General features: G+C 45.2%; 4 annotated features.

Annotated features, from left to right (window-relative positions):
- Nucleotides 1,870-2,370: an enhancer, noted in NCBI's record as "H3K4me1 hESC enhancer chr18:75842390-75842890 (GRCh37/hg19 assembly coordinates)". NCBI's record gives its function as "activates a minimal SCP1, AML or CMV promoter by ChIP-STARR-seq in naive H9 embryonic stem cells {active_cell/tissue: H9 hESC(naive)}" and the evidence as "EXISTENCE:reporter gene assay evidence [ECO:0000049][PMID:30033119]".
- Nucleotides 2,371-2,871: an enhancer, noted in NCBI's record as "H3K4me1 hESC enhancer chr18:75842891-75843391 (GRCh37/hg19 assembly coordinates)". NCBI's record gives its function as "activates a minimal SCP1, AML or CMV promoter by ChIP-STARR-seq in naive and primed H9 embryonic stem cells {active_cell/tissue: H9 hESC(naive and primed)}" and the evidence as "EXISTENCE:reporter gene assay evidence [ECO:0000049][PMID:30033119]".
- Nucleotides 3,814-5,013: an enhancer, noted in NCBI's record as "MED14-independent group 3 enhancer chr18:75844334-75845533 (GRCh37/hg19 assembly coordinates)". NCBI's record gives its function as "activates an origin of replication core promoter dependent on BRD2, BRD4, P300/CBP and CDK7 cofactors, and independent of MED14, by STARR-seq in HCT116 cells {active_cell/tissue: HCT116}" and the evidence as "EXISTENCE:reporter gene assay evidence [ECO:0000049][PMID:35650434]".
- Nucleotides 7,631-8,132: an enhancer, noted in NCBI's record as "H3K4me1 hESC enhancer chr18:75848151-75848652 (GRCh37/hg19 assembly coordinates)". NCBI's record gives its function as "activates a minimal SCP1, AML or CMV promoter by ChIP-STARR-seq in naive H9 embryonic stem cells {active_cell/tissue: H9 hESC(naive)}" and the evidence as "EXISTENCE:reporter gene assay evidence [ECO:0000049][PMID:30033119]".

Here is a 26,593-nt window from a genome sequence, read left to right on the forward strand (position 1 = left end):
TTTCCTGTGTGAGTCTATCTCCCTCTCGAGGTGGGGACCCCTCCACGCTCGGTACCGGGGCAACGCCTGCAGAAAAGGGATGCTCATCTGGCGGGAGGGGGACACCGGCTGCAGGCCAGGCCTCCCACCACTCTCTACCCCTAACCTGCCTTGTTCATCAGAGCGCTGGGCACAGCCAGGCGCATGTCAGTGCCTGGTTTGTGTACCCGTTCACAGTCTATCTCCCCTCACCAGCCAGGAAGCCCCACATTGAAGCTTCTGTAAATGATTTTTCAGCTAGAGACTCAGTGTCTCTAAGCCCAGCGCATGGCAGGTGCCCAGCGAACCATCATCTCCTCTGCAAGGTAAACCAGCATGGTAGATGCAGCATCCGCCCCTCACAGATGGGAGCTTTGAAACTCAGGCAGGTGTGCTGAAGGTCACACCTCTACTCTTTCATCTTTTGTTTTTAAAACTATCACTGTCTAATTCTGCATGCCCTACAGTAGTTCAAATCCAACTGGAGCCTGTACTTTGACCGTGCCCTGGCCTTACTGGTTTGTGTGTTGCTTTGTCCTGTAAATATTGCAATACTGCTGCTTAAACACACACGCAAGGTTAGGTGATTTTGTGCAATTTGTAATTAAAATCTTGGTTGCTCCCATAGACTGAGCACCGTTTAATAGATAGAAAGAAATACTAGAGCCATCGGATGTCCTTTCAGCTTCATTCTTTGCCCATTGTGCTCAGCACTTAGGCCGGGTGCTCAGCACTTAGGCCGGGTGCTGCCCATGCTTTGTTCTTGGCCGAGTTGAATCCAAAATCTGCAAGAAGGTAATTTAAGAAACTTAAGATAGTCTTGCAAGAATTTTACAATCGTAGAGCAATTCCTTTTTTTCTCTCTAAATGTGACTTTTAAAAATTTTCTCAGGAACAGACTGACCTTCTACCATGATTTTCAAAAATATAATATTTTAGATATAAAAAAACCTAAATGACTCTAACACACCTACTTTCAGTTGGAAGCACATATCACCAGTCTTCGTTCACACACACGCAGGAGCACACAGGCACACACACTTGGAAGCACATAGTCCCAGTCTCCGTTCACACACACGCAGGAGCACACAGGCACACACACTTGCTTTTAGACATGCTGCTTTCCACACATCTCCAGCGTGCGTTGCGTGTTTCCTAAGAATCTCACCGTTGTTAACATTGCCTGCCTTAGTAGGTACTGAGGTCTCACCAAAGCCATCACTCATTGCTGTATTCTTCCCATGAACGTTACCTGCCATTCTGGAGTGATAAACACTATACACCCAATTAAATACTATGCTGCTCATACAGAGGACTGGCTTTTGAAAGTATCAAAGCTGCAAAGCTAACAGAAATTTGCCAGAGCCTGTGAGGCAGTGGGAGGCGGGCAGATTCGTGGGGCCTGGAAGTGTGGAAGTGTCTGGGGCCAGGGGCCTGACCACATGGCACCTTCTTTAGAGATTTTTAACCAATCCATCCTTGCTAGGGAACTCCAAAATGTTGTGCCTTTTTTTGTTTGTTTGCTTTGGTTTGGGTTTTTATTTTTTGTAAACTGAACCCCCAGTGGGACACCAATCCTGGGCAGCCCTCATTGTTGAGAAACAGAACCAATGAGTGAGAACTCGGCCCCTCGCAGACATTCACAAACATCTGTCTTTCAACCCTGAAGAAATGTGTGGGTCTAAGCTACCTTGTGTGGAGATAGGTCTTTTTACAGTTTTGCCTCCTCTTGTACATGACATCATGTCTCATTTCAGTAGTTGTAACACCTCTACTAAATGCAAGAAGATAAATACGATCCCTCTGATTAAACAACCAAGAATACCAGGTTTTCTATGGCATTTATTTTCTGTACTTGCTGCAAAAGGGAAACGTGACTTCTGATTCCAGACTTCACATACACCCAAGGTGGAAGTGGTCCTTCAGAGGAAAGGAGGGTGGGAGGGCCATAAGACATTTAAAGTAAAAAACACTCAGAAACTAAACCCTAATGTTGACATGGGTTCAAAAACGGACCACCCTCAAGAAGGAATCAGCTCCACAGGCATTTGGCATCCGAGTGTAAGGGATCCCGGAGGACTCTGCCTCGTTGAGGAGTCTGTCCTGCTCCACCCTGTGCCCTGATGGCTCTGCCTGGGGCTAGCACCCTGTGAGAGGGCACCTTACCACGCAAACAGATGGTGCACCAGTGGACCTGGAGCTGGCTCCCAAGTGTTTCTTGAAGGCAACTTCCCAGCTAGAGACGGTCTTGTTTATTTGAATGGAACTGTGCTTACAGACTACATGGAATATTTGCCCACGTGCTCTATGAATGTTCATTTCATGTTTTTAATCAGCTGCTTGGAATGAAGATTGGACCAAGCACAGTAGAGGTGATGCTCAAAGAGTGGAAACAAGGTTCTCCGAGGCCCACCATGGCACTGGCCCCGCCCGCCGTCCCACAGGAGGCTTAGTGGGAAGGCCCTTGGCCTTGGCTGCCTGCCCTTCCCCAGCTGGGGTCTCTCTCAGCACTTCGGCTTCTCTTGTTTCAGCCTTCATGCTCCTGCTGGGCTGAAATGCCCAGGGAGGGGCCTCACACGCCTCTCAGCTGTGACTCCCTTTCCTTTGTCTCCCCAGCTGTGATCCTGGAAGGAAAACACTCACCTTAGAGACCAGCACCTGCTCTGTGCCCTGCTCTCTTGCAGGTAAATCAACTATGCCCCTCCCATCAGAATCAGAATCAGAATCATCTTTTCTATTGACAGACTGGCCCTTTCATTTTAGTTTCCCCCTTTAGTTTTTTTTTTTTTTTTTTTTGACAGTCTCACTCTGTCATACAGGCTGGAGTAGAGTGGCACAATCTCGGCTCACTGCAACCTCTGCCTCCCGGGTTCAAGTGATTCTCCTGCCTCTGCCTCCCTAGTAGCTGTGATTACAGGTGCTCACACTACCATGCCTGGATAATTTTTGTATTTTTAGTAGAAACGGTGTTTCACCATGTTGCCCAGGCTGGTCTCAAACTCCTGACCTCAAGTGATCCACTACCTGCCTCGGCTTCCCAAAGTGCTGGGATTACAGGTGTGAACCACTGCACCTGCCCTTATTTTATTTTTTTGTAAGGTTAGACACAGGAGGAGAAAGATGGGATATATGGCATACACTTCAGGGAAATATTAGGATTGATGATATCCAGGATGATGAAATTTTTTGCTTTGTTTTAGGGATTTTGAAACATATTAAGAAATTGGAAGTAACTGAGTTCAGCGTGCCACAGAGCTTGATGATGTGCACATCCTTGGGCATTGATTTTGTGCCTTTGCCACGTACACAGGTAAGAGTCAAAAACAAGAAAAGATATGATCGCTGCCCTGAATGATTCTGCAAGTTGCATTTGCTGCAGGAAGAAGGCATTTCTCCATCACACGTGGTTGGAATGTTCGGTATTTATGGTTTTGCTACTGTTTTCCCATCTCTTTCTTTCCTGTGTAAAATACCGACTTCCTGAGACCGAGTCGCTGCCTTTTAAAGCCAGTTCTTTCAGGTGCCCACAACAGCTCAGGCCTGGAAACACAAGCGTCTCACCAGCCGCCTCCACCTTCCGTGGCCTCCCTCACCCCGCCCTCCACACCCCACACTTTCCTCTTCTGAGAAAGTGGGAGAGGCACTGCGCCCACCAAGAGGAGTCCACTTGAGTCCACGAGTGGTCATGCCCTGGCTGAAGGCCCTGGGGTTCTTCACCTCCGGAACCTCAAAGGTGCAGTCTCTGAGGTGGGAGAGGGCTGCAGGCCTGTCCTGTCGTTTGTCGAGTGGATGAAGAGATGCCCCCGGAAGTGATCTGTAAGTTACAATTGAAAGGTAAGCAGAGACAAATGTGCATTATCCCTCCAGATCCTTTCTAGGATGGAAACACAGGCTCTTACTTTCTCTTTCCTTGTGTGCAACATTGAGTCATTTGTTTGTTCATCTTTCATTCATTCATTCAATAAGCAGGTATCACATATCACCGTTGAGTTCCGCCTTGGAAGCTGCAAGCCCGTGGGTTTGGGACCCTGCCCTACAGGTGGGCACCTTCCCAAGACCTCAAAGGAGCTCCTGTCAGTGCTGACAAAGAGGGGGTCTGATCAACCAATTCCTGATGAGGTCTTAATTAGTGGTAAGTACTTAATGCTCCAGGGTGTTAAAAATGAAATTTAGGGAGCATGAGGGTGCTTCCTAGTACAACCCAAAAGGCTTTCTAGGACTCACTCTGTCTACATTTAAGCCTGGGTTTTTAAAATACATGAACATTTTAGTAACTGCACGCTTTCATTCATTAGAGTGCAAGGTGAATCCTGGTCTGTTCTACAAAGATGAGAAGCTCACAGTCGTAGGAGACAGTGTGGCCAGGTATGATTGTAAAAAATTAATTGTGAGGCAGTTTTTACAGACACCGTAACCTGGAAAGCTAGAGGAGGAGGAAAATAAAAATGGGGTGGGGCAACCTCAGAGGGAGGATGCCCGGGTTTAGGAGAAGAGGAAAGAGCCTTCCGGATGGGGAACCGGCATTATCAGCAAAGGCACAGACGTCTGCAAGAGCCATGCAGGTTCACAGGAGGGAGAGTGAACCCCGGCTTGATAGAGGCAGGAATACGGAGGCCAGGACCTGCTCCTGGGGGCTGCCTGCCCTGTGCTGAATGATTTATATATGGAATCTCATTGATTTCCTCTCATGTTTTAGAAACCCTTACGCCCATTTTAAGGATAATGAAACTGTGGCTGGATGAAGCTAATGAAGGGATTTAAACCATGTCCAGAACGTGCGTCCACCCTGGCAAGTTGCAGGCAGGACTTCTGCTCCCGCCCTCTGGATCTCCACGCGGGGCACCTCTAACAGGTCCCTGAGCTTGGTGTGTGATCCCAACGTGGGGCACGGGTTCTCCCCAGCCTGGCACAGAGGAGCCTGCTGCCCGCAAGGACTTCCTCGCCCAGCCAGGCTTGGGCTGTTCGTGAAGCGGGAAGGAGCCCCGCAGCCCGGCACTCACACTGAGAAGACAATGCACATGCGCCTACTTTCCCGTTAAGGGGACACTGAGGCCACAGCTGTGGAAGGTGAAGCAGAGACAGACGAAGCCTGGAATGGCTGAAAGGCACTTACGGCAGAAGCGCAGACGGAGACACAGGGTCAGGCTCATGCACGCGGCTTGGCCGTGTCCGGCTCAGGGCCTGGTCCTCATGGCCCAGGGGGCAGCTGGAGAAACAGCACAGGCGTCGTGGCCACGCGTCCTTCCCCAGCCTGGCACAGCAGGCCGTATGAGTTTATCTGTAATATCAACTACGATGTTAACTGTTTTATTTATATGCAGTTTTATCATACGAGTCCTTAAAAGGAGATTCACTGTCGCCTCAGAGCACCCTGGTTTTTATTAATCTGGTCGCATTCGGAGTCGTTTAGTCAGCCGCCACTTCCTGCTTAGACGCACCATCCACAGGTGTGTCATTAGCGTGGAGGAATTCGAGCAGGACTGGGTTCAACTTCGCGTTTCCCATATTACTGAGGATGACTCATTTCTCATTAAAAGGTAAGCAAGACTGGATGACCCAAATTAAAACAAAAATCAACCGCAAATTAACTGAGTTCAAGAGAGAATGTGGCCTGCTAAGCTTCACATTGTGGAGAGTGTGCCGGTTTTCAGAGTTGTCCATGGCACAGTCTGAAAGACGGCATCTCATCTCATCCAAAGGGAAACCAGGCCCGCTCCTCCCCTTCTCTGACCAGACATTTCCAAGGATTGCCTTCCGGAGAGAATGGTGCTTCTTTCGTTCGTCCTGTGTGGGACAAATGGCTCTCTGGAATGGCTGTTCCCCGTGATCTGTGATGCTGGTGTTCTCTTACCGCATTCTACCCACTTGGCATTTTTGTACACTGAGAACAGGGATTTGAAAGACTAGGGAGTACGGGAAGACATAGTATAGACTTAGAAAAACTCCTCATGTCTTTTTAAATAAACCGAATGCAACTATGAAACATATGCCTCTGAAAGAACCAGCCTCTTTCAAATCTTTGTTTTCTCTCTTCAATAGACCATCATTGGTGAGGATTTTTCTTGCGATGAAACATATGGCTAATTGATTTCTCTGATGAAGAACCTTTTCTGCTATCATGAATGTATGTGTTCATGTACATACACGCATGTATTGTGCATGGCTGCATGGATGTACACACGCGACTATGGGCCTGGGTGTTCACAAGGGAGCTGGGCCTGCCTTGCTTGGGGTTCGATCCCTCTCGCAGCACAAGCCAGTTGACAACAAGAGGGGCCTGGCTCCTCGTCTTCGCTCTGGAGAGCACTGCCCAGGGGGCTCTGATAAAAAATACCAGTCCATCCACGGCTCAGCTTTTCCATTAGTGACGTGAGGACAGCAAAACCCACCCAGGCTGCATGTATGAGGCTTAAGAATGCAGGGGCTGCATATCCCACACCCACATGTGTGACGTCCCATTTCCTGGTTAGGACGACTGAGAATTTCCAAATGCTGCTGTGACAAGCAGGCCCATCACGCCCTTCAGTACCTGGCGGGTACACGATGGGCTCCTGTCTGCCTGGAAACCAAGAGAAGGCCTGACCGGCGTGCCCTGGGGGCCTGGGCAGTGTGGCGGAGGCCCGCCAACCCCACCGATGAGCTCTGTGGGAGTTTATGTGAAAAGCTAAAAGCAATTTTGCTTATAAAAAGTTCTAAATTACTTCTGATAGTCCAATTAACTTACCAAAAATATATGCATACATAATGGGAGATTCAACTACCTTCTGATGAAAGAAGCTGCAAATTCTACACCCAAAGGCTCAAGAGTCCTGAACTGGGCTGTCATGAGCCCCCTGCTGGGCAAGGAGCAGCTTAATTCTTTCCTCCATAGATGCTGGGTGCTGGATGCTAGGTGCTGGATGCTTGAGGTGGGGTGTTGCATGCTGGGGGCTGGGTGCTTGGGGCTGGATGATGGATGCTGGGTGCTGGGTGCTGAATGCTGGGTTCTGGATGCTTGGGGCTGGGTGCTGGATGCTAGGTGCTAGATGCTTGGGGTGGGGTGTTGCATGCTGGGGGCTGGGTGCTTCGGGCTGGATGATGGATGCTGGGTGCTGGGTGCTTGGGGCTGGGTGATGGATGCTGGGTGCCGATTACCTCAGAAAACACTGTGGACCTGAGGGAGCCCTGGATCCCTGAGACCTATTAATATCTGATATTATTATTTAATTTGCTCTAAAAGGTAGTCTTATTCCAAAGTAGAGCAATTAGATGCACAGTGGGTGGACATAGCTCTGTACCAATGACTTTCTTTTGGAGAAGGACAGTGCCGACAATTAAATGTAAGAATAGCATTGATGAAAACAATTATGAACATTGAGGGAAGAGTCAGGTGCCCTCCTGGCCGTGTGAAGGCTCAAAGTGCTGAACTTTGGTCCTCTCACTCCTTAAATTGAGAGAATAGTGTTGGGCCAGGATTGATGTCACTGCTTTCCCTTTAAGAATCACATTTCAGAAAAGGGCAGCCACGCCAAGGCTTTCTTACACTCCAGTCGATTTGTGAGCCACACTGTTCTACTTTTCCACTCCTTACTGTACCTGGCTGCCCTATTCATCTTTCTCTATGAACATTTGCTGTTTAAGGCAATTGGGCCCAATGAGGCAGAGCCCGGCTGTGATCGGCTCATCCATCTTTATTTGATCCTTGGCTGACACAGCAGCTGCCCTGTGACATAGGTTAGGTCACTGAGTGGCCATTACCCCCTCGTTTGCACACTCTTGTTCCCCCTAACCACCTTCCTGAAGTCAAATCCAGATGATTTGTGCCAATTTCATGGGGGCACAGACTGGAACATGCGCTCACTTTCTACATGGCCGAGTTTACACAATCTCACACACACGTCTCCGGCTTATGTGACCGTCAAAACGCGGATTTTCCCTTCCTTCGTACGGGCTTGGATAGAGCTCTGAGGGCTGGAGTTCTCAATTATAGAATGTCATGACACCGCCGCACGATTTTTTACAGTAATTTCACAGTGTCACTTCATGATTCTTTCAGGGCTGCTTTGAACCATGACTGAAAGAACAGTGGCCCTCCGAGTGTCAGGGGACGCGCTGGAACCCGAGTGGCGGAGCCGTGGGCGGCCAAGAGTCAAGCGCACACACGCAGGAGGCGGGCACGTCTCAGAGGTCAAAACCTGGCCGAGAGGAGATGCAAAGGGTTAAGAGAAAATCTGCAGACGTTTTTTCCTGCTAAATTTTGATATTGGAAACACATCTTCCAAACGGCATTTTTTTAGCTCTGAGTTTCTCTGGTGAATACCTGTTTAAAATGAGAGCCTCCAGGAGGCAGGGTGGGTGGGGAAAGAGAGACCAAGACAGAGAGAGAGAGAGAGAGAGAGAAAGAGAAAGAGAGAGAGGAAGATTGGGAGAGGGACAGAGAGAGAAATAGAGAAACGTTTACCATTTAAAAAGGGGGTAGGGCTTTATATATTTCTCCCCCAAAATATCTTCAGTCGTCACAACAAAGGTCACCATCATTTCTAAATCCTTTATATACCACATAAAATGACTTTTACTCCAAAAATCCTCCCCGAAGGATAGTTTGTGGGTTTTTTTTTATTATCATGATCTGCGTGGCTCACTCTTTTTGCCAATATTGTGACCAAATATAAAGCAAGAGTGTCGATTTTTTCAACCCAGAAATACATTTTGAAGTCCATCATGAAGCAGGTTGGAAGGTGCCGTTTTGAAAGCTAGACCTCCTGGGAGGCTTTCTGACCCTCATAATGCAGGCAAATTCTTACATTACTGCATGATAGACATGGTAGGCTTAGGGACAGGTCCCCATTAGGAAATCACTATGTCTTCAGGCAAGTTTTGCCCTTGAGTTGAAGAGGGATGAAAACAAAGTAAAGTGGTTGTCACAAACTGTTTTGATCTTTAAACTTATTTGACTGTGGCACAGCAAAGCCTCAGCTTCTGCAGCCATGTTAGAGACATCGCTGCAGAAAATAGTCTCACTTTAGAATATGCTTTCACCCTTCAATGTTAATAACTGCTCCTCAGCAAGACCTGTGATTTCCTTCTCTCTTCCTCTGATAGCCAGTCCCTTGCTCCTCAAATCATGGACCAGGGGCCATCATCAGCATGGGCTCCACCCAGGGGCTGATTTGACTTGCATGGTCTCAGGCCTCCCCCAGATCTGCAGCACCAGGGTGGGAATTCTGAAAGGATTTCAACTCTAGGGACCGCTGGTTCAGAGAACTCTGATCTTGCAATAGAGTCCGTACGCACTTAGCACCTGAAATGTTCCCTAGTCCACATCTCGAGTTTGGAGCAGCAAGAATCTTCATGGTGAAAGCTGCCATGACATTCTTCTGCTTGCCTGGCAAACTAAGGAGACTCTTGGCCATAACCTTTTATAAAGTCTTAGCTCGTCTTATCTAAATCCTTCTATTATCAAAGTTAAACTCTTCCAGCTCCCTGATCCTTTCCTATTATTCTCTGAAATGTCCATCTCTTTTCTGCCCAACCCACTCAGCCATGTTCTTATGGGCCCAAGAAGGTAAGAAAGAAAGATACTGGGAAGGGATAGATGTGCAAATGATGAATGAGCTTTCGTTTGGATTTAAAAGCCTGTGTCATTAAGGAAAGGGTGGATTTCTGGAATCAAAGAGGGTGAGTGTTCTGTGCATTCTCCCCAATCAGCTGCGATCTCTACATCAGCAACCGGCCTTGTCACATTGTGTTTGAATATGTGTGTGTTCTTCTTTCAAACATGGCTGGGCCTTAGGGTTGTTTTTTTTTTTGGTTGTTTGTTTTTTGCTTCTATTTTTGCTTTATTTTGCATTTCCCCATAAATGTATGTAATTAAAAAATAGAATCCACTTGTTGAGAGTAAAGTAGTCATCTCATTCCACACTTCCTCCCACCACGGCACCACTAATTTATCGTGCAATCCTAGCATTTTTATTCTTGCTGAGATGTGGATAACCTTTTTACATTGAAAACTCCTTTGCAACCTTACAAGAAAAGCCAATTAATCAATTAGAATATCATTCTCGAATTACAGTGGAATTATGTGTCCCCTCTGCTGAAAACCATTGAAACTTGCGGTGCATTACTTCAATTAAGAATACTTAATTTCCAAATGGCACAAATGAGCAAAGCATGAGTCATAGCACACGGCTCTCCTTAAAAGCCATCAGTGCTAATGGTTTTGAAACCTGTATAAACCTGATACGTGCTTCATTTATATGGCAAGCTAAATCCACGTAAGGGTGTAATATTTCTGCTTATGTACACAAGGCTTTATGTGGTGCTCCCTGCAATTGCACAAAAATGTAGATGGCTTTTTGCATGCCCTGCTTCTTACGTGAGGTGTGGCGAGTAGATAGGATCGTGCTTCGCTATCACCCCACACAAAGTGCACTTAGGCCGATCGATCGGAATGCTTCATAACATTCGAAGTTATGATAATCAGAGATTAGGGGGAAACAGCAAATTCCAGTGTCTGGAGAAGTATTTTTCATTGCTCCTGTATCTCACTATCCCATCTGCCTGGCTTTATTCCAGACTCTTCATTTGACCCCTTTGCACTGCCATCCAGCATGAATGAGTTTTGCTAGAATGAGGGGTGTGGAAACCAGTTTCTCAAGCCTCCCAAAGCTCCAGGTTTTATTCTTGTCTTGAGTTCTTTGTATCCAGGCTGTTCATTAGAATCCTGGGAGAAGATGACCCTGAGATAGCAATAATGGTGCGTTCACCATGGGGAGCCCACACCTGTTCCCTGCAAAGGACCCACATGTTTCTTCTCTGGCCTACTTATCTCCCCCAGTATAGAATACCACCTTTTACACTTCCTCGGCAAATTGCTTTAGTGCATTAGATCGATAGTACTAAAATCTAAGTCCATATTAGACTTCAATATTAATGTTTGTGTTAACCATAAACACAAAATACAAATACTGATGTTTATGAATTAGTGTTACTAATATTAATTTTTGTGTTAACCATGAACTTCTATACTAATTTCAATACTAATTAAATACTAATTTTTGTGTTAACCACAAATGCATTATGAAGAACAGTAAGAGAAAATAAGAGGATATGGAAAATCAATATTAGTTCTAAATGTTCTTATTTTGTTCCCAACGTTTTGTATCAAACTGTTTATAGCATATGATTTTTCCTCCCAAAGTACTGCCTTCATGCTCTAGAAAAATTTGCTTTCAATTTTCAATAATCAAATGGTAAATTTTGTTTAAATTAGCTTCTTTAAAAATGAAAACACTTGATTCTGGGAAGATTTTTCCTAATTGGCTAAATAAAGACAATTTTACTGAAATAAAAACATTCTGTTCTATCAAAAGGTCTTAGGTTTGGGCAACAGGGAGCTAGTCCCCTGGGAACGTGGGACAAGTGCACATCCTGAGCCCATCCCAGAAACACTGAAGTCCAGTAAGGCTCTCACCTTGGTTCTGGACTTAGAAACATCCTTGAGCTCACCACAGGCTGCAGCTTGCTCGTAGCCACTCTCCCCCAACTCATTGATGGCTCCAGCTGGGCACTGCTGCCTCCAAGTGACGCGAGGGCGGGGAGAGTTTCAGGAAGCATGCACTTGGCCTGTTAACCAGCACTGGAAAGAGTAAGTCATTGCTGAAATGTATTTACCAAGGTGGGACACTGGATTTATTTTATTTATTAGGTTTTTAAAAAAAATCTTGTGGAACTTTTTTTTTTTTTTTTTTTGAGACGGAGTCTCGCTCTGTCGCCCAGGCTGGAGTGCAGTGGTGGGATCTCGGCTCACTGCAAGCTCCGCCTCCCGGGTTCACGCCATTCTCCTGCCTCAGCCTCCCGAGTAGCTGGGACTACAGGCGCCCGCCACTACGCCCGGCTAATTTTTTGTATTTTTAGTAGAGACGGGGTTTCACCGTTTTAGCCGGGATGGTCTCGATCTCCTGACCTCGTGATCCGCCCGCCTCGGCCTCCCAAAGTGCTGGGATTACAGACGTGAGCCACCGCGCCCGGCCGTAACTTTTAAATATGTAGATATTTGGCAGATAAGCCTCCCTTTGTACTTTACCCTGGGCCCTGCAAAAATTAAGGGCTGGCCTGACATTTGGCGGCCTAGGCTCGACCTTAAGTACTTTCTGTGTCTCAGCACTGCATTAAAACCCATTGTACATAGTCCTTTTCATGATGTATTTAGACTTGAACATGATATCTGCATCTGTAATGCAGGGCAGGCTAGGGGATTCCTGGTATTATTTAAAAATCTGGACGACAGTAACCTTGAGCTTTATTTTTTGGGAAGGGTATGGCTCTGATTCAGTGGATCCTTGGAAGCCATGTGACTTTGGGCTCTAGGACTGACTGGCCTTGGGTTAGTGAAGAGGGTGAATAATTTGCCTTCCTTTTCTGAATCTTCCTTTGTTTCCTCATCTGTAAAGCATGAGCATTAAGTGTGAGAAGGCAGTGCATGCTTCACATAGATTGGCTGCTCCACGAACTCATTTGTTTCTACTTTGAGCCTTGTGTGTGTGTGCTGCGTTCCCTCCATGCCCTCAGGAGACATTCAGCCTTAACCACATGTGGGCCACACCCAGGCTTCTGGGTTTGGGGTTTCATTTTGTTTTGTGTTTGTTTGTTTTTTGAGACAAGGTCTCCCTCTGTCACCCAGGCTGGAGTACAGTAGTGCAATTTCAGCTCACTGCAGCCTCTGCCTCCTGAGCTCAAACAATCCTCCCACCTCAGTCTCCTGAGTAGCTGAGACCACAGGCATGTGCCACCACGTCCAGCTACTTTTTGTGTTTTTTTAGTAGAAATGGGATCTCACTGTGTTGCCCAGGCTATGGCTTCTGTTTTTGAGAGTATTTAATAGTGTGTTTTAAAATGTGAGTAGTGATATTATTCTAATGGCAGTACCAAAGACCCTTTGATTAGAAGTTGATGTAGGTGAAATGGTGAGAACGAAGTCAGTGCTGCTATTTCTGTATGAGATGTGATTGTTTACATTTCATTTGCCCCGGATGGTGAGGACCTCGGTGTAAGAACTAACCACAGGGAATGAGAAACGTGGGGAGACATTTGGTGAACTTAGTTGGAAATACTATGTTAATGGCATTTCCAAATTATATGCTCAATGTATTTTTCTCTGACCTCTAGACTTCTTCTCCAATAAAGGACCTCTACATTTAAAACGATGGGTCTATTTGGTAAGGTAAATTAAAGGGGCACAACTTGCCTGTGTTTCTAGAATATATTGACACTCTTTGGTGTATTTATTGTTAATTGTTTTCAGATTAACACTTGGACTGCTTACTTTAACTGTACAGATTCTGACTTTAAAAAGTGTCTTGAAGTTGACCAAACATATCAAACGTATTATTTGATAAAATAACTAGAGCAGTATGTAAGAACAGACTTAGTGAGGTTTTCTCACGTTCAGAGCACTGCACATCTTGGATTCTGCCATCCCTATCGCACAAGAATGATACCTGGGTCTCCTGGGGAAGGCTGTCTCATTTCCTGCCTGTGAGTGATAAGAGTGATGCAGGTGGGCAGGTGAGTCCTGAAATCAGGGCTTAGCCCAGGAGGATTCTCGCCTTTGCCCAGGGAAGAATCCAAGGGTGAGCCCGTGGTGTTAGGCAGGAACCTTTCATTAAGCCAGAGCTGCTTTCTGCAGAGCAGGACAAACTCACAGGAAGTGTGCCAGAGTCCGCAGCTTATGGGCTCCTGACGCCTATATCCACACTCTACTTATACCTGCTTTCAACTGCATGCAAATTAAGGGGTGGATCCATGCAAATTGAAGAGTGAGTTAAGGACTCCCTAGGAAAGGGCAGCCCCTTCTAGGTTGTTGCCACTGAAAGCAGTGATAACTTCTGGGCTGTTGCCATGGCATTGGTAAACTGTCATGGCGCTGGTGGAAGCATCTTTATGCCAGCCAGCAGTGAGGGCAGCCAGGGATTGCTTTGAGCAGCATCTGCTGGTTCCCATGGCTTTCTTCACTTTATCTTGTCTGGACCGGACCCTGCTTGGGTCAGCAGGGCTGTGACCAGGAAACACGTCCTGCCAGTCTCCTATGTCAAAACCATTTATTACTTCCCATATCTTGGGGAAATAGTGTGCATTTAGGGGGAGCATGGATTCTGGAACACAGCAAGACTCAAGTCCTGCTGTGGTAGGTTTGTGACATCAGGTGGACGTCACCTTGTGGAACCCCGTATTCCTTGCCTGTGAAGTGATCATCGTAAAGTGATCTGTCTTGGGGGTTGTGAATATTAAAATGCATTCCTGGTCTCCGTGCAGGGACTCAGTAAACACTAGTTTGCTTTCTCTTTCCCTTAAGTTGCCAGAAAACTCTTTTCAGATTGTAATAAAGAACCATCCAAAGTAGGTTATTTTATGAGGTTGACAGATCCTATTACTTAGCTTTAAATCTCATCTTAATGAGGAGGAAGAATTCTACAAAAGTGGGCCCAGTCAGGTTCTTCCATTGTGTTTCTAATTAGAATTTAAGTTGCTTTTAATGTCAGTTCTAAAGAACCCTTGGTGGAAAATTAGTAGTTACCCGTTGACATAAAATGCAAGATGATGCCTGGACAGTCTGAATCACAAAACATTTTGCCCTTAAATCCCAGGAAATGTAAGCTGCATGGGGTGGGAGGCGGGTGGTGTGGGGCATCTGTGGATTAGGTAGTTCATTGTGATTGAATATCCTGGTTAAAAATCAAACTAACCAACATTTTCCAGAGGAAAATAGAGCACATTTCTGTGGCCCTGACACCTGATCATTCCTGCCTCTGACACTGCCTGCAGCATCCTTTCTTCTTTACCATTACTGATGTGAATCTCCAAAGCCCCTGTGCTTCTTTCTTGCCGTCTCCTAGTGAAAAACATCTCTTGCTTATTAAAAAGACAGCTTCATTCAGCCCTGCTCAAGAAGGATCTTGGTTAGAGCTATCTTTTAGAAATATAATAGGCACAAACCATGAGCTCTTTCTTTCTTTTTTTTTTTTTGAGAAGGAGTCTCACTGTGTCGCCCAGGCTGGAGTGCAGTGGTACGATCTCGGCTCACTGCAAGCTCCTCCTCCTGGGTTCAAACCATTCTGCTGCCTCAGCCTCCCAAGTAGCTGGGATTACAGGTGCCCGCCACCACACCTGGCTAATTTTTTTGTATTTTTAATAGAGACGGAGTTTCACTGTGTTAGCCAGGATGATCTTGATCTCCTGACCTTGTGATCCACCTGCCTCGGCCTCCCAAAGTGCTGGCATTACAGGTGTGAGCCACTGTGCCTGGCCCAACATGAGATCTTTCTTAAATGAGCATTAAATTACTGTACATCAATACTCTTTCCTGACAAAGGGGTAAATGTGAAATGAAACTTAATATTTGCCCAAAAATAAGTGTGAAAAAAGAAATAAGAATCACCCAAACCTAAAGTCTGAATGCTTCCTATCTATAGACTGATGGGTTAGAAAAGCACTAAGCTCTGGAATTAGTTTGCTAAAACTTTATTTAGTCTCCTGGGCCGTAGGAGCATTTGGAGAAGCGTGCTGCATTTGTGACTGTAAACAGTACAGTCAGGAGAATTGATTTTAATTAGGGTAAAAGTTTGTTCATTTGTTTTGTTGTTGAGTCTCTATGAAAGATAGCAGGTATAGTGGGAAAGGCACAGAATTTTAAAAAAGACCCGAAGGTTAGAATCTTGGCTATTTGTTCGTGTGACTTTAAGCAAAGAATTGGGCTTTTCTTAACTCCAGTGAGTTCATTTATCAGCCTGGGATTTAAAAGCAGACATTTGGTGAGGATTAGAGATAATTACATTACTTGCCTAGCAAAATTTTTGGCAGCCAATGATTATGAAATATTACTTTGCGAGAATGCCTTGACAAACACTGAAATTGTGGCTATTTCAAAATAGTCATATAATTTTTTAAAAAATTGGCCAGATGCAGTGGCTTATGCCTGTAATCTCAGCACTTTGGGAGGCCAAGGCAGGTGGATCATGAGGTCAGGAGATCGAGACCATCCTGGCCAACATGGTGAAACCTTGTCTCTACTAAAAATACAAAAATTAGCTGGGTGTGGTGGCATGTGCCTTTAGTCCCAGCTACTGGGAAGGCTGAGGCACGAGAATCACTTGAACTTGGGAGGCAGAGGTGGCAATGAGCTGAAATCATGCAACTGCACTCCAGCTTGGGCAATAGAGCGAGACTCCAAAAAAAAATTATAGCATTATTTACAGTATGAAAGTTAATAAAGGTTTTACAGAAACATCAAATGGCTAAACATTACAAAAACTTAAGTCCAAATAACCCAAGTTAAATTTTGGCAAACACACACGTAACTAGGGAAGATGGCATGAAGATTCCATGGACTTTTAGGAAGTTACGTGACCAAAGACACAGGGTCTCCAGATGGCAGATCTAAGCCAAGAACAAGTCCTGCTGTCCTTAGAGGGTGTCCCAAGCCTCCCACCCTGATCCTTAGGGCCTGGCTCTTGGGTTTGTGACTGAGGCTGCTTTGGGGGTTCAGTGAGGCAGGTGCAGGATTCCCTCACCACCATCACACCAGTGTCTCCACCATGGAAGATGATGAGGCTCTTTGGAAAACACACATGGAATGGCATGTAGGAGATGAGTGGGGAGGAGCGTAGGATGTGCCATTGGGCTCACTGGGGTGAGGATGCCTGGGAGACCTCAGTAGGCACACACATAATGATGGGGGTGGGGGCCAAGGCCGAGGAAGAGACATGGAGTGTCATCAGCAAATGGATGGGAGCTAAACTTGTGTTCCAACACAGGGTGGTTCCTGGAGAGTGTGAAAAGGGAAGAAAAAGAGAATTACACTATCTAGAAATCCTGTGTAAGGGGCAAGCAAGAGAGAAGAGCTCGGGAATGGCGTGGAGAAGGGCTAGACCAGGAAAGAGGGAAAAGGAAAAGAAGTGGAGGAAAGGACAGTCTCAAGGATTAGGGGTGTGTTAGTCCATTCTCATGCTGCTATAAGACATACCTGAGACTGGGAAATTTATAAAGAAAAAGAGGTTTAATGGACTCACAGCTCCACATGGCTGGAGAGGCCTCACAATCATGGCAGAAGGTGAAGGAGGAGCAAAGGCATATCTTACATGGCAGCAGGCAAGAGAGCATGTGTGAGGAAAACTGCCCTTTCTAAAACCATCAGATCTCCTGAGACTTATGCACAGTCATGAGAACAGCAAGGGAAAACCCACCCTCATGATCCAATTACCTCCATCGGGTCCCTCCCACAACACATGGGATTATGGGAGCTACAATTTAAGATGAGATTTGGGTGAGGACACAGCCAAACCATATCAAGGGGACACTCAATACATCCAGTGCTTTAGAGCTAAATGAAAGTATAACACCAAAGAGTATCTTTTTGTTCTGGCCCTTGGAGGAAGCCTTTGGTGACCACATGGAAATATTTCCCAAGGAGGTCTTGAAGCCACAATGTAGTGGGGAAGGATGGACCAGTGGGTGAGAAATTGGAAATGGAAATGGACTGTGCTGGCCTCAGCATGGAGAGCAGGGCAGGTGGCCTGAGGCGGATGCAACCCCACTGGGAATTATGGCTGTCTTAGTTTCAGGAACCGACATCAGCCCTGCAAAAACAATCTTAAGCCCGGTGCTATTTTAAATTTATCTATATTCACATTTTCAGTTCAGAAAATACAGAGAATGCTACCTTTGGAAAACACCACATTCTTCCATTTCATTTGGGTGTTATGTAGATTTGATAGATGTAAATGAATTAAATTTAAATGATTATTTAACATGTAACCAAACCATAACCTCAATTACTCAAATTGAAATAATGCCCTGACATTTTCCAAAACATCACCTCATTTTATTTTGAATTAATTTTCTTAAATATGTCAAGATAATTGAATGAGAGAAATATCACTGAAAAGAGCCTTTCCTTACATTTGAGGCTTTATTTTCCAAATATAAAATTCATATATTTCCTCAACAATTCATTAGCTGGGGACTCCCTCCAGGGATGGAAAGTCTAGCAAGGAAATTAATTCCTAAATGAGATGTTCCTGCAGAAACCTCTCCCATATGACACACAGAGCTATCGAGGAAAGACTCCCTCAAATATACGACACTAGTCAAGGAATTCACCAAAAAATGTGAATATTTATAAGGCAACTCTCAACAACAAGCAGCCAATCATCATTAGATCCTTTGGTTTTCATTATAATAAAATTAATCTTGATTAATTCATTCATTATTAATCTTGCATTCAAATGCAATTCCATAGAAACTGCATTGTGATTTAGCAATTAATTTACATGCCAAGATTGAGCAGCATTTCCTTGGTCCTCCGAGGCATAGCTCTCCCCTGTGTCGTGGAGTCAAAGGCAGGCCCAGAAGATCCATTTATCTGAAATATTCCAGGAAAATAAAAGCAAATGTCTAAGGTATAAATGCTAAAGCAGGGGGATGCCTTTCCTGCCTCATGTTCTGTAATCTGAAAAACAAAGACCCTGTCTCATCTGGTGTGTAGGAAAAGCACACACCTACTTCATATGTCCAAATAAGGTGCAGGTCTGCAAGCAGTTTAATTGAATTCTTAAAGCTTCTGATTTCTACTCATTGTCTGCATGAGCTTTCAAAGATGTGTTTTTGTATAAAAATTCTGAAATAACAAATTGTAAGCCCACAGCTTTCATTCCTCTCTTCGTGAAGTGGCCAAATACCATCGTGCACCACATGCGGACATTTCATAGACCACACATACGAGGGTGGTCTCAGAAGATGACAACACGATGTTTTCACTGCACCTTTCCTGTGTTTAGATCTGTTTATATACACAAATACTCATCACTGTATTTTAACTGTCCACAGTATTCAGTATAGTTACGTGCTGTGCTGGTTTCTAGCCTAGGAGCAATGGGCTACACCATACAGCCTAGGGGTGCCTGGACCATGCCGTCTAGGTCTGTGTACATGCTCTCTACCATGTTCACACGGTAACAAAATTGCCTAACAATGCACTTCTCAGGAGGTATCCGCATCATGGCGTGATGCATGTCTGTACATAGAGTATTTGGTATATACGTATAGTGTGGGTTCCCATCACGGGATGGGAAGTCCTAGGGCCGTATTGAAGAGAAGCTTCGTCAGTGAATCAGCAGATGAGGTTATAAAAAACTCTGATTTTTACCCAACAATGTTTTTATTATTTAGTTTCCCCAAACATAATTGTATATATATAAGAATTAAGAAGCACTGCAATAATAAGGGAAACCCGACTGACTAACTGATAGCTTTGGTTTGTGAAAATGTCTGCACATCTGCCAAAATACGAAGGTTTTAATTATTCATCCCCATCTCCACGGGTGGGTGCAGGGGGCAGCATCAGAACTCTCTGTTGCTATCCCTTTACGCTGTCCAAGATTTACTGATGTATATATCCAAAAAGGTGCTGGCATACTGTCTTCATTCTGTCCAAAAGATGAAGAAGGAAAAAACAAGTTTTCAAACAAAACTTGGAAGCAATCCCCACACTGAGGATGTTTACACAGGGTTTCTTGATTGCACAGGAAACAAATGTTCCCATTTGATCTGATCAGCCCTATTCCATCTAGCTAAGGCTATTGTGAAAGAAATGAGAACTTTCATCCACCTGCGAAAGGCATAAACCAGAATTTCCAGTTGAAAAGGGAAGTAAATGAGAGCTTCGGCTTCCAGGCTAGGAAATGCCCTCATAAGCTGCATCAGAATGTCTGAGTTCCTGTTGACTGTGTGGACCTGGTTTTAAGAACCGCCCTTCAGCACCCTGCAAAAGCATCTCTTCCCAGCAAACGCGGGTTGGCTTTCAGCATGGTGCCGCTTCCCGCGCATGGACAGGAGCTCAGGCGCCACACCTGTTAACTACCAATCACGCACCTCTCAATCAATCCCCCTCGGGCCAGCCCTGCAGAATGAAGATGTCAGAGCTGTAGCTATTAATGCCCTGAAGGACACGAAGATCAGTCGCATATTACAAAGAGAAATAGAAAGGGAACAAAATCGTCCTGACGTACATTTACCTAAAATATCCAAGAAATTGAGACAGATGTCATCAGCATAGACCCTCATTCGTGGGCCTCGGTTTTTCTGCTAAAGGACAGTGAGCCAGGCCTTTGCTTTGAGGCACTGTTGGCATCTCCTTGGAGCAGTTTCTTGAGTACTTCTCCACAAACAGGCCTTTATTGTGTTCGGGGTGGAAAGGATTTGCATCTTAAAGCACACGTATCAATGATTCAGTGTTTATAAGCAGTTTAAGTTGTCTATTTCTCCTTTTTTTCCTAAAAATTTTTCACTGTGCTGCCCTTCGAACTTTCTTGGAACCAACTTCAGCTATTTATTGATATCTTTTGAATTGTGACATCTGCCAATTTGATATAAAGAAATATAAAAATATATTAAATCTTATATATGCATACATTTTGTATACGAATGTAATATATATATGTGTGTGTACATGCATGTCTGTGCATGTGTGTGTGTGTATGGAGACATGGAAAGGAGCCTTAATTACACTGAAGTCTACTCAGAAGTGCAGTGTGATCTGAAAATCTTAGCTCATCACCTCCCAAATCTCCAAGAAGCAAAGGGAGCACAAAAGAGAAGCCCAAGCTCTGTAGGTGCCAGAAGGGACCTCGTGCCCCAAGGCATTCTCTGGGTCATTGCTCCTGCTGGCCACATCCCTGTCCTGTCTGGATGGAAGTCCGGCCCGTCGGTGTGTGAGCTGTGCAGCATCCACACTGTGTCTGATGCGAGTAAAATGGAGAATACACTCCTCCTTCATCCTGATGATCCCGGGGTCCCAAACATGGAACGCTGCATACACACGTCTGGGTATCATGCAAGGCAGCTGGAGGACCCATAGGGTGCAGACCCTGTGGCTACGTGGAGGCTGAGGGTCCCCACTTAAGGGCCATCCAGAGTGGCTGCCTTTTAGGAAAAGCTTGATTCCTTCCCTGCAATCTCTCGGTGTTAGGACGCGGCCCTCCAGTGCATCAAGCATTCTCTTTCTTACCTGTTAATCCTACAGGTCTCATTTTAGACAAAGATAATCACCCTGGAGATGAGGAAATAATGACATGAAGCTGGTGCTTTGTTCACTCTTTATAAAATGTCCATTAGTGACCAGAGCCATCCTGTCATGGACACCGTGTTGGCCTGAGATGCTCTCTTCTCCTCCCTCTGATTTTTTTTTTTCTCAATGCTTCCTTGAGAAACCGCCTTCATGTCCAAAGCTGCAACTGCCCCTATGGGGAGGACTCACACTTAGGCCAAAGCCCAGAGCCCCTTGCCATTCAGAACCATTCGTCCAGCCGCAGACTCCATGTCTCCACGCGTGGGCGAAGTGTGCTTCGAGTGCAGCACAGCTGCTCCTAAGGCCTGGCTTTTCCCTGTGGCCCTGGGTCTTCTCCAGGACCCCTTCTCGGGGACTGTACTCCCATCCGCCCAGGCGCCAGGCCCAGGAGTTAGGGAACATTGCAGTTGCCCATTTTCAAGGAGGTCAGAGGGGAAAGGAGGAGACCGAAGAGTCTGAGAAGTGGGCGGGAAACTCAGAGCACAGCCGCCCTCGCCACCCTCCTCTGACAGGGCGGCACTGCTCATTGCTGACGTTTCCCAGGGAGTAAGGACCTGGCCCAAACACCTGTACCCTGAGCTCCAGAGAGAGCTTCCCATCCACAGGGTTGGGGGGAGGGCAGTGAGGAGAACTGAAGGGCTTGGCTACTCCTGTAGAAGGAAAGGTCCACGGGGCTCTGAGAGAGAGAGAGCTGAGTCACTCTCAGCCAGGAAGGACGGGTGCAAAGGACAAAGTTGACGGTAGTTACGTGAGGCTCCAGAGGAAGAAGCTCCCAAGGGCTGCTCTCAGGGACTCATTCTTCCAGAGAACAAGAGTGAGCAGCTCAACAGTTGCATTCAGAGTTCAACAAACAGGATGACCTGAAGGCGGGGGGAGGCAGTGACATCGGAGGGAGGGCCAGGGAGGCCCCTCTGAGAGGGTGGGAGCCTAGTGGAAGAGAGGTCTGGTAAGGATCTCGTTGTGGAGCGTGAAGGGGGAGGGTCTGCAAGGAGAGGCGGCCACAGGTGCGTTGCTTTGCGGGATCAGCTGGGTTTGTGCAAACAGCGGTGGGAGATGGGGGCCAGGGTGATGCTAGGTGTATCCCACTGGTCTAAGCAACGGACATCTGAACGTTTCACAAAATTATGGCAGTGACTCAAACCTCATTCGTTCATTCAATGAGAAATATCAGATGCTTTCCAGGTACCAGATACCGCTCCACCTGTGGGTTTATGGTGAGGAACACTCTGACGTGTATTTTCCTCAATAATGTATCTGGAAACATCATGATATTATGAAGGCTATGTAAGCACATATGTATGAAAAACACTTTTGAGCCAAAACACCATACTGATAGTTATATATAACATTCATATAATATATATCACAATATATAATATGTATGCTATGTATTGCATTATTAAATATATATGCTACATATAATACATATATTATGGCATATTATGTATAGCATATAATATAGATAGCATAATCATAAATATATATAGCATATATATTATCTATATTGTGTTACTAAATATAACATTTTCCCAAGAAAATTATCCCAACTACTAGAAAACACCTTGATATCGTTTGGCTGTGTCCCCACTGAAATCTCATCTTGAATTCCCACGTGTTGTGGGAGGGACCTGGTGGGAGGTAATTGATTCATGGGGGCAGGTCTTTCCCATGCTGTTCTCATGATAGTGAATAAGGCTCATGAGATCTGATGGTTATAAAAAGGGGAGTTTCCCTGCACAAGCTCTTTGCTGCCATCCATGTAAGATGTGACTTGCTTCTCCATACCTTCCACCATTATCGTGAGGCTTCCCCAGCCACATGGAACTGTCAGTCCAATTAAACCTCCTTCTTTGTAAATTACCCAGCCTCTGATATGACTTTATCAGCAGCGTGAAAACGGACTCATACACACCTGAAGTCAAAGATAATACTTCTAAGTTCTTCAAATGAAGAACTGTTCTGTTGGTAACGTTAGGCCACCAAAACATTAATTAAATTCAACTCTTGTTTTACTACCATTTGTATTAGATGTGTTCAAAGTCAAAGAAACTATTTCAAATTTTGAAAAATCCATAATTTATCAAATCATGGACACTTTACCCAAATGGTGATAGTTGTACTAAGATTAAGAAAATTAAATTAACAGAGTGTGTGATTATGGCAGTCACGTTGCATTTCCCCCATGTTCTCAATTGTACATATGAAGGAGACACAGCAAGGCATGGGCCACCTGCCCTGGGCATGGAGACCGAGTCCGGGTCCTCCCTTCTCTGTGCATGGAGCTCTCATCCTGTGACTTTCCCTCACTGTGTCTGGTCTCCACCACAGGGCAGAAGACTCACTGGGCTGCCATCCATGACAGGTGTATGACTCTGTGATTCTGTGGTTCTTATGTTCTGTCCTGTCACAGGTGATAACAGGAATATGTTCCTCTGTTTATAATTACATTTCTGTTCCATATTCTTTAAGGATTGGGAGGCAGGGAAGGAAATGGACATACACATTGGACAGGCTTTGTGGTCCCCGTTCCTGGGAGGAGGTCAGATTCCCTGAGCGGCAGCGGCACCCCCAGAATGTGAACCCCGCGTTGCCATGAGACCTTCAGAGGAGATCAAGATGGAAAGGACTTCTGTGAAACCACGGAGGAGCATGCGGTCGCCTCGGGCCTCCTTCCCACTGGCAAATCCTCGAAGCAGAAATCACCTGATTCCCATCTCATTCCCCTTGGAGTTGGGGAAGGAGTGGGATATACTGAAAAGATCCCTCTTTGGCCATGGGCAACGAAACCACCTGTGATTTCCTGTAATCCGATGAACGTAAAGTTTGAACTATAAGACAAACATGAACTTTAATCTTGGGTCCACCACTCTGCGGGCCTCCAAGCCCAAACCCTTCATCTCCAAACAGAAGTAAGGGAGACTCACCATTGCTGTGTGAGGATGGGGATGGGTGAGACTGGCACAGGGTGCCCCCAGGGCCGGCAGCGTGAGCCTGTTCTGTGAGAGAAAACCTCCTGAGAGCCTCCACTTTCTGGATTCCACGCGTTTGCTACACAGCAGCGTCAACTTGTGGGCTGAATCTCCAGTGAGCTTTGTTACGCTTTTCTCCCACAGAGCCATGGAACATGACTCATCAGTAAATGCAGTCAACTGAGGGCCTTTGCTTCCAGTGCACGAGAAAGAAAACGCTTTTATTTGAGGAAAAATAACATGTATTCACTACTGGACACAAATAACAACATCGTAGAATTCCCTGCTCTTATAGTTCAAAAAACAGAGTAGAAGAAAAAGAAATGCTTCCGTGTGCAATATGTAAAGCTCTTGTTTCTTTGGTTTAAAACTAAATTGCCTTGAATTAAAAAAAAAAAGTGACTCCAAGTACAGAGACCAAGTCCAATGATACAAATAGGAGAGGAATCTGAAGCATCGTAAGAGGAGATTTTCAAGTCTGAGCAGTTAAATGCAGTGTCTGGAAAAGCGAGAAGAGTGATTGCAACCAAATGATCCTATTAAACATCAAACATGAAGATCAGGTGATAAGAAAATATTTTCTCATATAATTATTATTTCATGCGTTTTGGTTGCTTTAGTTTATTCTTAAGGCAATACTTTAAATTTCCCATCAACATTTAAAAATTATTTACGATAGTCTATCGTGTATCACCTTACTAACATATCGGGCGCAGTTAACATGAAAGCGGTTGGCAGTTCCATATGGTTTTTCTGAATGTCTATTGACTTTTCATAAATTTCAGCCTGCACAATTCTTTGTGGGAGGGGCGGAATGCTGGTTCCGGGGGACGGAAGCCTGAATGATGCCTGCTGTGTTCCCACTTTGTGGTGATACTGGCAGTCCCCCCACTGTGGTGATAGTAGGAGTCCCTTGGTTTTTTTTTTTTTTTTTTTTTTAGTGTATTAGGTAATTTTACTTCTCAGTGAAACACATTTCTGAATATTTAGTTGCTTCTTTACATAGAAACCTACCTCCTACCATGCTTCATATTTGCTTAGAATGTAAATAATTTAACCCTACAGCTTCAACAGTCTTAATAACGGGTTCCTCAGCAGACAGTTTCTCTCTTCCTGCAGGAGAAGACTCAGGAATGAGGAGAGGCAACATCCTGTCCCAAGCATCACCTGCCGTGACGATGGCCGAGAGCCACAGTCCACACTCTGGGCAGCACTGGCACCTGTGCCCCAAGCCGTGGGCCTGACTTTTAACTGAACAACTTTATTACATAAGCTTTATCATCTTTCCAGAAGGGTTTTTCTTTCCTTCATACCTCTTTCAAGACTACACTCCCATGATTTTCTGCAAATTCACTGAGTGGTGTGTTAGTACATTTTAACCTCTCATATATGACCCTTAGTGCCTCTTCAGAGTCACTTTTGCTCTTAATCCCAGCCCCTGGCAACCACTAATCTACTTTGTGTCCCTACCAATTGACCATTTCTGGGCATTTCATGTAAATGGAGTTAGAATATGTGGCCTTTTTTATCTGGCTTCTCGGACTCAGCATAAAGTTTTCATGGTTGATCTATGCTTTAGCATGTGTCAATACCTAATCCCTTTCATGGCCAGAGAATATTCCATTGTGTGGATGTACCACATCTTGCTTATCCTGTTACCTGCTGACAGACACTGTGTGGTTTTCCACCCGATACTTTAGGGTATTGTAATAGGGCTGCCATGACCATGCCCAGGCAAATCTTCCTGTGGGCATAAGTGCTCATTTCTCTTGGATAGGACTGGAATTTCCAGGTCTTGTGATAAACTTATGCTCAGCTCATTTAGAACTGCCAAGCTGTTTTCCAAAGTGGTTGTACCATGTTACACTCCCACTAGCAGTGTGTAACAATTCCTGTTTCTCCACTAGGATTTAGTGCTGTCTCTCTTTTTACATTGTAACCATTATTGAGGCGAGAGCACGCCCTTTCTTGATCTCATAGCCGACAGAAATCAAACAAGGTGCAGCAGAGGCAGTGGCTCTCAGAGTTGCTGCCTTCCCATGGCAGGCACCACACTTCATACAAACACTTGTACACACATCACATCTGATACATGTGTTACATTTTATACATACCAACATTTTAGTCATACCTGTGTGTGCACATAGACACGTCACATTTCATACATGCATATTACACACACACATCACATTTCATACCTGTGTATGTACACGAACTCATCACAGTTCATACATTCATACATGCATTTGCACACACACATATTTCATACATACTTATGTGTACACATGTCTCCTTTCATACATGTACACATGTGCATATACATGTCCTGCATACATATGTGCATACACATATCACATTGCATACACATATGTGGATACACATATCACAGTCCATTGGCCAATGTAAGTCTCATGGCCAAACCCAACATCAGGGGACGGGAAGCGTCCGTCTTCCAGAGACAGGCTCCGCGGGTCACACGGAAGTGTGCACATGGTCCTCTTACAGA

Source organism: Homo sapiens, chromosome 18, assembly GCF_000001405.40.
Source record: "Homo sapiens chromosome 18, GRCh38.p14 Primary Assembly".
Classification (NCBI taxonomy): Eukaryota; Metazoa; Chordata; class Mammalia; order Primates; family Hominidae; genus Homo; species Homo sapiens.